The 14794-nt window shown below is 37.1% G+C and overlaps 1 pseudogene across 1 annotated transcript in view; it reads left to right on the top strand.

Moving 5' to 3' along the window:
* REXO6P (RNA exonuclease 6, pseudogene) overlaps positions 1 to 14794 on the top strand; it is a 37110-nt pseudogene that overhangs the window by 7149 nt on the left and 15167 nt on the right. Inside the window, exons 8-13 of the transcript NR_026679.1 lie at positions 1359 to 1555; positions 3557 to 3718; positions 7128 to 7224; positions 12380 to 12436; positions 12842 to 12933; positions 13609 to 13815. The product of NR_026679.1 is annotated as an RNA exonuclease 6, pseudogene (transcript). The remainder of the gene's footprint in view (positions 1 to 1358; positions 1556 to 3556; positions 3719 to 7127; positions 7225 to 12379; positions 12437 to 12841; positions 12934 to 13608; positions 13816 to 14794) is intronic.

Below are 14794 nucleotides of genomic sequence, written 5' to 3'. Positions count from 1 at the left end.
GGCCAACATGGTGAAACCCTGTCTCTACTAAAAATACAAAAATTAGCTGGGTGTGGTGGCGCATGCCTGTAATCCCAGCTACTCTGGAGGCTGAGGCAGGAGAATCGCTTGAACCAGGGAGTCGGAGGTTGCAGTGAGCCGACATCGCACCACTGTACTCCAGCCTGGCAACAGAGTGAGACTCCGTCTCAAAAAAAAAAAAAAAAAAAAAAAAAAAAGATATTTAATAAACTTTCTGCATGGCAGAGTCTATACTTCCAAATCACAAATGAAAACCTGAATTTCAGTTCTTCATAGAATAGTTGGGTGTCCTTGGGCAAGTTATTTAATTTTTCTGAGCTTCAGTTTCCTTATCTATGAAAGGAAAATTGAGTGCCTACCCCAGGGTCAAATATATAAGTACTTAATAAATGCTAGTTACCTTCCTCTTATTTCTTACAAAGTTTTTTTGGTGGCTAACATTATTTCCCTTTAACTGCAAATGTTGTGGTGTTTATAGTTTTAATTTTATTGTGCTATGTAAAAAAAAAAAAAAAAAAGCCAGGTGTGATGGCGCGTGCCTGTAGTCCCACCTACTCCCTGTTACCCCCTCCCCAATTCTTGTATATAAATAGTTTTTGGCTTTGTAAATAACTGTCCTTAAAATTCTCACAAGTTGAAATAATTGGACTAAAGATAAAGAATTTTAAGATTTTTAAAGCATTCTTTAAAAATCTTATTGTCACTGTATTGCCTTCCAGAAGGGTTTTCACAATTTATAGTCCTTCTCAATGTTTCAGAGTTCTCTTCCCACAAACCCTTACCTACGATGCACATTATAATTTTTTAAAGCCTGCAAATCTGGTTAAAATTTTATTGCCTTATCTTATATTACATTTCTTTAATTATTAGTGAAGCTAAACATTCTTTCCCATGTTCCATTCTCTTATAACAAATGTTGCTGTGGAGAAGTCTGCTTGCCTGCTATTTCACCCTTTGAGTCGTGTGATACTTTTGTCTGCCTATCCAAAGGATTCTTCCTTTAATTCTGAAGTCCAATAACTTTAGTAGATATGTCTTATTAGCTATTCTATTTTTTCTGTCTACATACAAAGTATCACTTTTGTATGAAATTTAATTTTTTAGTTAAAACTTTCTTAAATTATGTTTCAGTAGTTGTTCAGTTTTATTATTTCCTTATTTCTGGGGATACTCCAACTATGCATGCATTGGATCACAATCAGCGTTACAAATGTGGTCAATTTACTGTGTGGCTGGCTGTAAGGCCCCCAACGAGCTTCTATGATAGAAGAAAGGCAAAATTATCAATTTTATCAATTTTTCATCATTTTCATTTGTTTTATGTTGCTGCCCTATAGGCCTCAACCAATAAAGAGGTCATTAGACCATTCAGGGTACCAGTCCCACTGCTAACAAGCCCCACTGGAATCATTCGGGCCCAGCAAAGCAGTACAGATAAAGGCTGCCATAAAGAATGGGAAGGCTTTTATTGATGCCACTTCAGAACAGAAGAAAAATGCATCTACATGTCCAGCCTCTCAGAGCCAAAGGAAAGGTTTGGAAAAAAGCTTTTTTTAAAAAAAAGTCACTTATTTAAGAAATGGAATTTTACTTCATTTTAAAAAATATTTCTTAAAAATCCACATGCTACCAAGTATAGTTGAATCAATGGCACAGTTTTACATGAAATAATATGATTGATATTTAAATATTTTGTCTACATCTTTTTTTTTTTTTTTTTTTTTTTTTTTTGAGACACAGTTTTACTCTGTGGCCCAGGCTGGAGTGCAGTGGCACAATCTAGGTTCACTGCAACCTCTGCCTCCCAGGTTCAGGTGATTCTCATGCCTCAGCCTCCTGAGTAGCTGGGCAGGCATGTGCCATCCATCACACCTGGCTAATTTTTTTTTTCTTTTTTTGTATTATTAGTAGAGACGGGGTTTTGCCGTGTTAGCCAGGCTGGTCTCAACTCCTGACCTTAAAGCGATCCACCCACCTCGGCCCCCCAAGTGCTGAGATTACAGGCATGAGCCACCACTCCCAGTCAATACTTTGTTTATCTCTAAATGATACACAATAGTAGTACTATTTTGCAAGTATTTTACAATTGTTTTATCAATTATCTCAATTCATTCTTCTGAATTATACTGGAGTGGGTTATTGGGATTTTTTTGCATTTGAATGTTGTTTTCTTCCAGGTTGCATGTTTCAAACCTATAAAGGAAGTGTTGTGAAATTTTGAATTAATGATTAAACTCTAATCATCTGAGGTTAATGTCATTAAAATTTATCTTTTCTTTTCCTTGTTCATGAAAACTTCTTAGAATATTCACTCACAATGGACCTTCATCTGAATGTAGTTCTTTCAAGAGAAAACCCAACTGCAAAACCAACCAAATCGTTCATTCCTGTCAAAAGTATTGCTTCTCTTTCTGTTTAGGTATTATAAACTAAGTCTGAACACCAGAATTATATTTCATCATATCCTGCTTACATATAGAGTCCCTGGAAGAGTGGCTATATTTTTTTCTGAAGCTTTCAAATTCAGATAAATGCCAGACCCAATAGAGAAAAATGTCAACATTTTTTAGCTTACCGATGAATATAGTTATTTTCATTATGATGTAATTTGTGTCACTCTTAGATGTTTTGTTGATTCTATCCTTGGAAATAGTAGGCATTGTTTTAGACTTAAAACATCTATGGCTATGGTTAATTGAAACCTACTCAACATTTTTTAAAAGGAAAGTTTCAAGCTGTGTCCAGTGAGGGTGTATATTTGTTTATGTATATGAGACAGAGACAGCTCTTTACTAAATAATGCCATCAGTGATATGATGTTGTAGCCTTCTTTAAGTAATTCTTATTCTACTTGTGGCAGTGATTTTCCTCCCCTGTTTTCCAATTATTTTGTAGCAGAAAACCACCTGGCAGTTTTAAGGTTTTCTCCATCCCTAAAATGTCTTTGTATTACATGCAAACAATTACTGAGAAGTATGATGTTGGCTTGGTTTTATTTTTCCTCAAAGGTGAAGCAGATTAACTGATTTTAAAGTTCTCTGGGTCTTTTTATAAGTCCTTCAGAAGAAATGCTAAGAGTTTATAGCTGGGATCACTTTAATATTAAGTATACTCAAGTCACTCAGAAATTTTAAGTCCAAGCATTTTTCTTAATGATGTGCTATCAGAAAGACATTGGGATACATAGTTGAAGGATGGCAACCTACAAACTTTGCTATATTTGAATCAGAGGAGCAAATCCCAGCTTTAGGAATCTGGTTGTGGAACAGTAGTACAATTAGATGAGTGATCAGCTATCATTGCGTACGTGCAGGTAGCAGCACAGATGTGGCAGTCTCACTTCTCCATTTTGTGAGTTTAAGTAATTTTATACTTTGTGTTTATTCTACCTCTTCAACTTGACACTTGAAATTACTTTTCAATTTAATTTTGATATAACTGACCTAAGGTAGTTTTACTTCTTCCATATACTCAGTAGGAATATTAAACAGAAACATGTCTTCTTTTCTCTAATAACACTTTTATTTTTAACAAGAGGCCAAAAGATACATTTAACAAGATGGCTCATCGGAAAAGACATTCAGTAACATCAGAATTCTTATCCAAAGTACCTGATGAAGTAAGACAACGCTACATCAACCTCTTTGTTGAGAAGTATTTGAAAGTTTGTAAAACAGAGGATGAGGCTGTTTACAAGGTTGGTATTATATAATGTAATTTATCTGAAGACACACACAAAATTATTACATTGAATAAAAAACTCATGGAGCACAACTAGCAAATAACTTTATTCATTTTCTCTTCATTACATTTTCAAAACCAGGCCATGGGACTGGTTCAGTTCCTTCTTCCCTCTTGGATGACTTTTATGGTCTTTTTCAGTTACCAAAAGTCCCCTGGTTACTTCTAGGGGGTCTGGGCAGGGTGAGGACTGTCTGCTAGCTCCATCCTCTGCACAGGGGAGCCCCATGGCTCAGAAAACCTAACAAAGGAAACATGGGTACAGCAGTGGTAATAAGGGGCATGCTTGTCTTATTCCTGATCCTAGGGGGAAAGCTTTAAGTCTTTCTTCATTAAGTACAATGATAACTATGGGGTTTTTACATATAACCTTTATTAAGTTGAGACAATTCCTTTCCATTCCTAGTTTGTTGAGTGCCTCATTGTGTTAGATTTTGTTAAATGCTTTTTTCTTCATCTATTGAGCTGTCACACAGGTTTTATCCTTTATTCTATTAATATGATACATTGCATTGACTTTCTGTGTTAAACCTTACATTTATTTGATAGGTGTTCTTGGTCATGGCATATAATCTTTTTTTATACGTTGCTAGGTTACATTTCCTAGTATTCCATTGAGGATTTTTGTGTCTATATTTATCACAGATATTGTTCTGTAGCGTTTTTTGTTAGTGTCAATGACTTTTTAAAATTGCTATAAAATACACGTAACATAAAATTACCATTCTAACCATTTAAGTGTACAATTCAGTGGTATGATGTGTATTCACAATGTTATGAAACTATCACTACTATCCATTTCCAGAGCTTTTTTATCATTTCAAACAGAAATTCTGTACTCATTAAATAACTCCCCATTCCTCTCTCCTTTCAGTCTCTGGTAATCTCTATTCTACTTTATGTTTCCATGAATTTTCTTTTCTTTTCTTTTTTTTTTTTCTTTTTTTGACAGAGTCTCACTTTGTCACCAGGCTGGAGTGCAGTGGCGCAATCTCCACTCACTGCAACCTCTGCCTTCCAGCTTCAAGCGATTCTCCTGCCTCAGCCTCCCAAGTAGCTGGGATTACAGGTGCATGCCACCATGCCCAGCCATGTTTCTATGAATTTTCTTATTCTATTTATCTCATGTAATTGAAATGATATACTGTTTGTCCTTGTATGTCTGACTTCTTTCATTTAGCATAATGTTTTAAAGGTTTATTCATGTTGTAGCATGTATTCAAATTTTATTTATTTTTACAACTGAATAACACTTTACGGTATGTATAACCATACTTTTGTTATCCATTTTGTTCACTCAATAATGGATGGAGATTGTAGTTTTCTTTGCAGTAATGATTCTGTCTCTTTTTTGGTCTCAGGGTTATATTGACCTCATAGAATAAATTGGAAAGTGTTCCCTCCTCTTTTATTTTTTGGTTTATAAGACAGCCTTAGCTTTCACTTCCTGCTTGTGCAGGGCCTCAAGGTTGGCCACTGGTGAATGAATAGGATTTTCTCTTTTCCCAGGTCTTAAATGGAACACTTGTTAAACCCAGGATTATGTCAGAGCCTTTACAAATCTCTAGGGTCATCTAGTTCTCCAAGAGTTTCTTTTAAATTCCTAGCCAAACTATTGTTTGCCAGACTAAAACCATAGCCCTAGCTAGCTGTGATATTGCCAGGATATTGCTATTGTTTCAGTTGCACCCTGGAGATAGGGTTTTTTCCCTCCATACTCTGAACTCTGAGTCAAATCAAATACCCACAACACCCTAGGAATAGAGATTTTTCAGGGAACTGGTTTTTTGTTTGAATATTGATAGTGCTCTAGCAATAATGCTTTTAGTATGGTTCTAAAAAAGATATGTCTACTCTGTTGGCTCTCAGGGCCAACCTTTCACAACCGTGGCGCCACTAAGCTGGGAAGGGAAGGGAGGTAGGAATTTCACAGAACCCACTGTGTTACCAAGGTTCAGTAGTTTCTCTTAGACAATTTTCAGTTTGTTCTGTGGCTTTAGTTATTAGAATTTTGAAATGGTTGATTTTTAGTTGTTTTGCCAATATTTTTATTGCTTTTGTGGGACAGTAAGTTCATGAAGGTTCTCGCTCTACTATTCCAGAAGTCTGTGTCCTCTAGGATTCTATGTAGGTTAAAGAATAATGGCAAAAATAAAAAGGGACAATATGAGCCTCTTATGTGTTGTTCATTTTCTTCCAGCTTTGTCTTTTTTCATCATGTGTCTTTTCTTCCTTACTCCCTCTAACCTCCCATGGCTTTATCTCTGATGATTTAGTGTAATGAGAAGAGTCTTGGTGGCATTTGGGTACACCTAGGTTCAATTACCAGCTCTGTAACAATAAGCAAGATGTTTCCTTTGTTCAAGCCTAGTTTCATCATATAAATCAGTGATGACACCCATTCTCATACAGTCATAATGAAGATTAAATGAGAAAACATTTAATATGCTTAAAACAAACCTGCATATACTAGGTATATAAATTAATAATATATTTAATATTTATTATCATAACACTCCATTTGCTTGTTTCTTTCATATTTCATTCCTTTTCCTTTTACTGACTTAATGACCCTTGGTATAAAAATAATTATGTAATGGTTTCAGGAAGGTAAATTTTATAGAAGAAAAAATGAAGATCATGTCCTCCATTTGCTGTGTAATCCTAAGCAAATTAACCACTTTGAGCCTTAGTTTCTTTTAAATGGAAATAGTAATATATGCCTCTGGTATATTTGGGGCTGGCTGTGAGAATCAAATGAATTGATGTATATTCTCAGCTTTGTATAGGTATTGCACTATATACCGTATACCAATATACAGTAGCCTTTTGTCTATGAAGCAAGAGTATCTGGTTCTTGGGTTGGAGTCATAGAACTGTTTTTTTTCTTCTTTTTTTGAGACAGAATCTCTCTCTATCCTCCAGGCTGGAGTGCAGTGGTGTGATCTCGACTCAATGCAACCTCCACGTCCCAGGTTCAGGCGATTCTCCTGCCTCAGCCTGCGGAGTAGCTGGGATTACAGGCACCTGCCACCACGCCGGGCTAATTTTTGTATTTTTAGTAGAGATGTGTTTTCACCATGTTGGCCAGGCTAGTCTCAAACTCCTGGCCTCAAGTGGTCCACCCACCTCGGCCTCCCAAAGTGCTAGGATTACAGACGTGAGCCACCATGCCCGGACTATTTTTTTTTTTTCTTCTTAAAAAACAAACACAAAATGGAAAATAAGTTGCTTTTCATTGGTGGCACAGTTTTCCCCCATTCATTAAGTTACATAAATATTTTGCCATATTCATTATATTGCAAATGACATTTCCTGTTCATAGGCTTTTGGCTTAATATTTAATTATTCAATTTTTGACCTAGGCTAAAATAGAAAAAAAGGCAATATATGAAAGGTGTAGCAGGAGAAATATGTATGTGAACATAGCAGTAAATTATCTTAAGAAGCTAAGAGATCAAGGTAATTTATTTTTTTCAATTAATCAAGTGATAAAACCTGTAATTAGTACCTGACCCTGAATACTTTTTCTCATTAGTAGGGCCATCTTTAGCTTATACCAAGGAATTTATTTTTTAAATAGTCTCTTTAGTGGAATGTGTAGGTGGTACTTGTGGTTGAAAATCAGCTGCATTTGAAATTGGATGTATAACTATAACCTTATTGTCAGAGGTTATCACTGAAATATTTAAACTTGTTTTCTGGTTATGAAAGTAACTCACTTCTATGCGGAATAGCATTTCTCAACCTTGTTTTCGTTATCGTCCCCCTAAGAAATCTTTGCAGACATTATTTTTTCTATCACCTCCCTCTTCCCCCTTCATAAAATTAAGTGCCGCTTTAGGAGATACACCTAATGCTAAATGACGAGTTAATGGGTGCAGCACACCAGCATGGCACGTGTATACATATGTAACTAACCTGCACATTGTGCACATGTACCCTAAAACTTAAAGTATACTAATAATAAAAAAAAATAAGTGCCAAGGGATAAGATTTTATTAGGTAAGGTTGAATTTTGAAGAACCATATACCATCATAGTATTTAAGATTTTCTTCATCCCTCAAGAGTCAATTTTGCTCCCTTGTGGGCAGTATCAGTTCCATCAAGAATGTATGGCATGAATTCAAATAATATAGAAAAACATAAAGAGTAAAAAGCAGCCAAGACAACTCTTTCATATTTCTTATTTAGACCTTTCTATGTATTACTACAGAGATGTATATAGTTTTAAAATTTTTAGTGAATATGATAATTTTATATATACAGTATGTCTAGCTATTTTCACTGAATAAGGTATCAGAGGCCTTGTCAGTTAATCTAGAATCTGTTAACATCTGGATCTATATCATGCTTTTTATAATGGCTACGATATTCTATTATGTAGAATCTATACGATAGATATTCTTTTCTATAGAACTTATACTAAAGATACAAAAGTTAGCCGGGCGTAGTGGTGGCCCAAACACATTTGGATATTTGGAGTGCTTACATTTTTTCCTATATGACTTTTTCATATATGATTTTTTTCTCTGACTTTTGTAGATGATTATTTCACATAGAAAAAAATATTTTTCTATATATTCTGTGATAAATTTAAGTGTAACCTCTAACATTTTCTCCTACATGATGATATGTATCCTAGCACAAATTCCTGTGCGCAGAAGCAAGGGTCTGCGTGTTTGAAACTGGTAAATATTGCTAACTGCATCCAAAGAGTTTGCCCATTTATATTCCCCTTCGATAAAGTAGAAGTATATGTGTTTTTCTCACACCTTGCCAAAGCTTATCATTTAGCCTCTGTCAGACTGCAATGGTGTAGAGCAAAAATGAAGTTAGTTTTTTTTCTTTTCTTTTCGAGACACGGTGAGGCTCTGTTGCCCAGGCTGGAGTGCAGGGGTTCAATCCTTCGCCTCCCATGGTCAAGGGATCCTCCCACTTCAGCCTGTTGAGTAGCTGGGACTACAAGCATACTCCATCACACTCAGCTAATTTTTGTATTTTTTGTAGAGATGGGGTTATACCACATTGCCCAGGCTTGGTCTCGTGTGCCTGAGCTCAAGCAGTCCTCCCACGTAGACCTCCCAAAGTGTTGGGATTACGGGCATAAGCCACCACTACTGGCCTGAAGTTAGTCTTTTTTAAAAAAATTTATTACTGGCAGAGTTAAAGCGGTTCTTTTTTTTTCTTTCTCTCTCTTCTGCATCCCTCCTCCCACTCCCCCGTTTCTTATTGGTCTGTTCATCTGGAACAACCTTTGCCTATCACCGTTTTAATGTGCTGCAAATCCATTCCTCAGTTTATCGTTTGTTCTTCAGCCTTATTTATGAAGTATTATTAGATAGATGTGATTGCAAAGTGTAATCAGTCTCTTTGATTTCTGGGTTTTGTCTCAGACTATTCCAATCTCAAGAACATAAACTATCAATCTATGATTTTTGTGGCATTTCTTATGTATGACACTTTAGGGGTTTTTGGGTTTTGTTTGTTTGCTTGCTTGCTTGTTTGTTTTGAGACAGAGCCTCACTCTGTCACCCAGACTGGAGTGCAGAGGTGTGATCTCGGCTCACTGCAGCCTCCGCCTCCTAAGTTCCTGCCTCAGGCTGTCAAGTAGCTGGGATTACAGGTGCCCACCACTACGCCTGACTAATTTTTGTATCTTTAGTGGAGACGGGGTTTCACCATGTTGGCCAGGCTGATCTCGAACTCCTGACCTCAGGTGATCCGCCTGCCTCGGCCTCCCAAAGGGCTGGGATTATAGGCATAAGCCACCACGCCCGACCTCTTTAAATAGATTTAAATACATGTGTTAATATATGCAGGGTCTGTTAGGTTAGTCTTTTCAGGTTAAGCTAACTCTTCCCCCTTCTATTCATATTAAATATAGCACATAGAAATGGAACGTAGAGGTCTTAGTATCTGTTTTAAATATTTCCCATGAAAATAGAAATGGTTTGCAAGTTGTTACAGTTGTGGTAAATTATAATATAAAACATATTGACTCAAATTTAGACATAATCCATTATACAAAATGTATTAATTTGAGCAAATATCAAGTCTTGACATTTTTAATAGTTCAGTAGATTTAACTTTTTTCCCAGCTTGGAATTTGTTATGAAGACATTTGGACTCACATGTTGGATACTTGTTTTAAGATAAAAATAAATATTTTACCATGCTTATATCTTTTTTAATGTGCTATGTGTTTTTATGGAACAGACAAGAATAATCATTAATTTCAGAGAATTTCTTGTATCTTTTAGTCGTGCCTAGAAGCAGTAATGACAAGAAAACAATTTAGAGAGTAGGAACAGAAAAATAGGCCACACGCGGTGGCTCACGCCTGTAATCCCAGCACTTTGGGAGGCCGAGGCAGGTGGATCACGAAGTCAAGAGATCGAGACCATCCTGGCCGACATGGTGAAACTCCGTCTCTACTAAAAATACAAAAATTAGCTGGGCGTGGTGTTGTATACCTGTAGTCCCAGCCACTCGGGAGGCTGAGGCAGGAGAATTGCTTGAACCTGGGACACAGGTTGCAGTGAGCTGAGATCGCGCCACTGCACTCCAGCCTGGTGACAGAGCAAGATTCTGTCTCAAAAAAAAAAAGGGGGGGGGGGGAGTGGGGGAAGGAACACAAAAATGGTAAGCTTACTGTAATAATAGTAATAAGCCCTGTAATTGATACCTTAAGGGGAAAGTAACCCTGGTATAGTACAAATATTAAATTATTATGTTTATGAAGGGTCAACTGCATACTATGCATTTTTGATATCCTTTTAAAAAATCAGTACAAATACACCATGGAATACTGTGCAGCCATAGAAAAGAGTGAGTTCATGTCCTTTACAGGGACATGGATGAAGCTGGAAACCATCATTGTCAGCAAACTAACACAGGAACAGAAAAGCAAGCACTGCGTGTTCTCACTCATAAGTGGGAGTTGAACAATGAGAACACATGGACACGAGCAGAACATCACACACTGGGGCCTGTCGGGGTGGGAGGCAAGGGGAGGGAGAGCATTAGGACAAATACCTAACGCATGTGGGGCTTAAAACCTAGATGATGGGTTGATAGGTGCAGCAAATCACCCTGAGATATGTATACTTATGTGACAAACCTGCACGTTCAGCACATGTATCCCAGAATTTCAAGTAAAATAAAAAAAAAGTATAAATAAGGGGAAAGAACTTACATTTAAGCTATATTTGGATTGAATTCTCAACTATTTTGCTTTTTTGATTAGCATGTGTTAATTTTTCTTTTTTGGTTAACGTATGTCCAGTCAGCAAGACCAATGCTTCTCAAATGTCAAACTTTCCATGGGTTTGAATTACCCGGGACTCTTGTTAAAATGCAGAATCTGGTTCAGTAGGTCTGGGAAGGATCTCAAACCCTGAATTTATAACAAACTCCAAGGAGCAAGAAGCTACAGAAAAGGAGTTATTAGACTTTGGCTACATTTTGAATAAAAGCAAATGGTAGTGCTTCTCCTCTAATAAAGCCTTACATATGAGAATGAAAACAAAATAGATCCTTTTGAATCTCCTAATACTTCTCACAAAATAATTTTTCCTTTTGCCAAAGCGTTTACCAAAGAGTATCTAGCAAATTCTGTTAGAGTTTTAAATAAGAAAATAGATACAATTCTAAAAGAATCCGTAAAAATGAGGGGCTCTTGGTCTGGGTTAGTGATGTTGGAAATGGAACCTGAACTTGAACTCTTTTGCCATGAGAGACTTGTCGTGTTTCCCTCTGTGGTCCTTGATTATAAGCATTTGTTGTATCCTTGTCTGAATATTAAGGATAACCGCATAGTTTGGAACCAGAAGGCCTGGGTTTGTGTGTCAGTTGTGCTGTGTAACCTTGGGCATGTGTCTTTATTTTTCTGAGCCTCATTTTCCTCATCTGTAAAAATGAAATCAATGCAGTTGCCTTTCTAAGTTAATGTAAAGTTTAAACCAAAGTGCTATGCTTACTATATGCTATTACTGATATGATTCTTCCCTTCTCTCACCCAAAGCGTATGATGTCACATGGTATACGGAACAATGTCGGTTTTGTTGGTGTTGCTGGATGATGGATATGAAGACCTAGAATTTTTAGGCCACTACCTTACTTAATCAGAACCCTAGCATTTCAGATCTGAAAGGGTTGGTAAACTCTAACCTTACCACAATGTAAAGAAAGATAATGCTACATAAATTTTATGGAATAGCTTTTCTTTTTTTCTTAGTGCTCATAGGAGTTATTCTCTATAGACATCTTAAAAACTACTTGCTAACTGAGGAACAGCTACACAAAAATAACTACCCTAGACCATACCCCAACAAACCAGGAAGTATTCTTTTAAACCTAGGCATGAAAAAAACTTGGAAATGATGGTAAGTAGATGGGGCCCACAATTACCCTTTCTACATGCTAAGACTGAAACCTAGGGGGCCCAGTGTTCTGATAAATATATATATATGTTTATGTTTTTATATATGTTTATATATATGTTTATGTATAATTATTTTAGTGGAAATGAGATTTTTTGGTCAGCATAGTTATACCACTGATAAAAACATTTTTGCACTGTGTTTCATTTCCCTTTTCATTTCAATTATCTAGGTGCTTAATTTTATCTAAGTGATCTACTTTATTAAGTCCTCAAAACAACCATTTCAGGTAAGCATTGTTATTCCCCTGATTACACAAATGAGGAAACTGATGTTCAGAGAATTCAAATAACTTGTCAAAGGTCACAGAAAATAAGTGGGACAGCCAGGATTTGAAGCCAAGGTGTCCAACTCCTGAGCTCCTACTCTTCATCACTATTCATTTACATATACAATGCCATGTTTTGAAAACTATAAATTCTCACTGTGAATTATTATACAAAGATTTATAATTAGTCTTATTTTGCATGTTCTCCAAATACTAGGCATAATTAGTTAATATGTTCATCCCCACTGAGAGAGAATGCTAAACATCACAGCTGTCAAACTTTAGGTTGATGATCAGAGTATGAAATGCAGTTATACAAATATTCTACAGTGACTAGAAAATATTTGTCATCTTCTGCATCTTTAGGACTTCTCCCTTGGGATTATCTTCACTATTAGCTTTTCTCGTTTTGTTTTATTTTTTCACATCCCCTCAATGGAAGGCAATACACTTAGCAGGTAAGAATATGGACTCTGAAGGGGGAAGTCAGGCTTCCTAAAGGCTGTTTTCTCAGTGAAGTGTTATTCAAGGTCTGGATGCTAGATAAGTCATTTAACCCCTCCTACCCTCTGTTTTCTCATTCTGAATATGAGGATAATGATAACTACCCCATCAGGTTGTTGTGAGAATCCATTAAAATAATGTATATAGAGTGCTTGACACAGAGCCTGCCTCATAATCTAATCTCATCATGGATATTCAAATAAGAGTTGCTGTTATCACCATTATTATCACTATCAGAACCAGTCTGAGGTTTATTAATAAAACAAATATTCATGAATGGGTCTAGTGAAAAACGCAGATATACTCTTAATAACTTAATAATAAATGTACAGTTTATTGTGGGAGACTCTTGAAGGGATAAAATCATAAGGAAGACATGGCTCCTATTTCAGGGAGCTATTATGTACTAGAGTAGTTGACTGGTCAAGTTGGTTACAGTCAAGTTGTAACACTAAAACTACAATTGGCTGGCACTGGGCTGACTTTGGAGCTAGGTAGGGGGGAGGGGGCGCCTGTTTAAGCAGCAGCAGCCCTGGTGCAATAAGCAAGCCACTTGCAAATTCTCCCTTGAGTGATCCTGTAGCTTCTCCTGTTACTCTGTAATCACACTGGGTATGTGCTTCCCACAGGATCAAGCATGCAAAGGCAAGTCTCCACATTGGCTCATTTACCTTTTCTCTCCCATCTCATCTGGAATAATCCTACTTCATGTTTTGTTTCGGCACCTAAGAAGCTCTGTTGTCGATGTGGAAAAATATATGGTGTGACTCCCTCAGGTTGACACAGCAGGGTAGAAGAATGTAACTACCAATTTGGCGGAGTGTTGAGTCATAAAGGTAAGTATTTGGTAGTTCTGTTTGGTTTGACAAGCCAGCTGTTCAGAGAAGTGGAATGAAGTATTAAGTTCAATGTTCAGTACAGTCCAATAAAGAAAAAACTACATCAACTCTAAAACCTTTATTGTAGATACCTGCATCTGACCACCACTTGACTTACCCTTGCAGCTCATTGGCTCAAGAACCCTCAGGCTATGACAATTCTTCTTTTTTTAAGACCTTAAGTCAGTCAGCTGCCTCCTGACCTTGCCCTTTCCACATGCCAACATTGCAGTAGTTTTTGTTTGTTTGCTAATTGCTTCAATTCCTTGCAGGTGACCTTGCCTAATACTTTACTGAAAAAACAAAGCCTTTGCGAAATAATGCCCTGCTCTTCCCTCCCAGTAGATTCACCAACATCTGCTCCTTTCTGGAGTCATGATGGAGGAAGCATCCCTGTTCCCGTCACAGTTCCTCTCCATGTGCTCTGTATCCTGTCCTCGTGCACCTACTCAGGGACTCACCAGACTCCCCTTCTCTATAAGATCAGCATGTTCTCGACATACCATTCTGGTATCTCCCATTTGTTTTAGCAAACTAAACCTCCATGGTCCCGGTCTCTTGCTGCATAGCTACTCTCATTTCTCTGCCTGTCCTCCAGCACCTACTCAGGGACTCACCAGACTCTCCTCTATAAGATCAGCATGTTCTCGACATACCATTCTGGTATCTCTCATTTGTTGTAGCAAACTAAACCTCCATGGTCCCAGGTCTCTTGCTGCATAACTACTCTCATTTCTCCGCCTGTTGCATATGCTTCATGCACAACAAAGAGTTGTCTATGCTAGCTGGCTTTACTCTCCACTCACCACTGAAGCTCACATCAGTGACCTCGAGGCTGCTGGATCTAATAGACTTGTTTCTGAGTCACTTGACTTATCTTTTCAGTACTGTCTTACCTTATAGTATTCTCCTCTCTGCTTTTGTAACAACACCCACT

The sequence above is a fragment of the Homo sapiens genome, chromosome 9 (genome assembly GCF_000001405.40).
Source record: "Homo sapiens chromosome 9, GRCh38.p14 Primary Assembly".
NCBI lineage: Eukaryota > Metazoa > Chordata > Mammalia > Primates > Hominidae > Homo > Homo sapiens.
The sequence above is the reverse complement of the archived record's forward strand: the minus strand, read 5'-3'. Positions and strand labels throughout refer to the sequence as shown.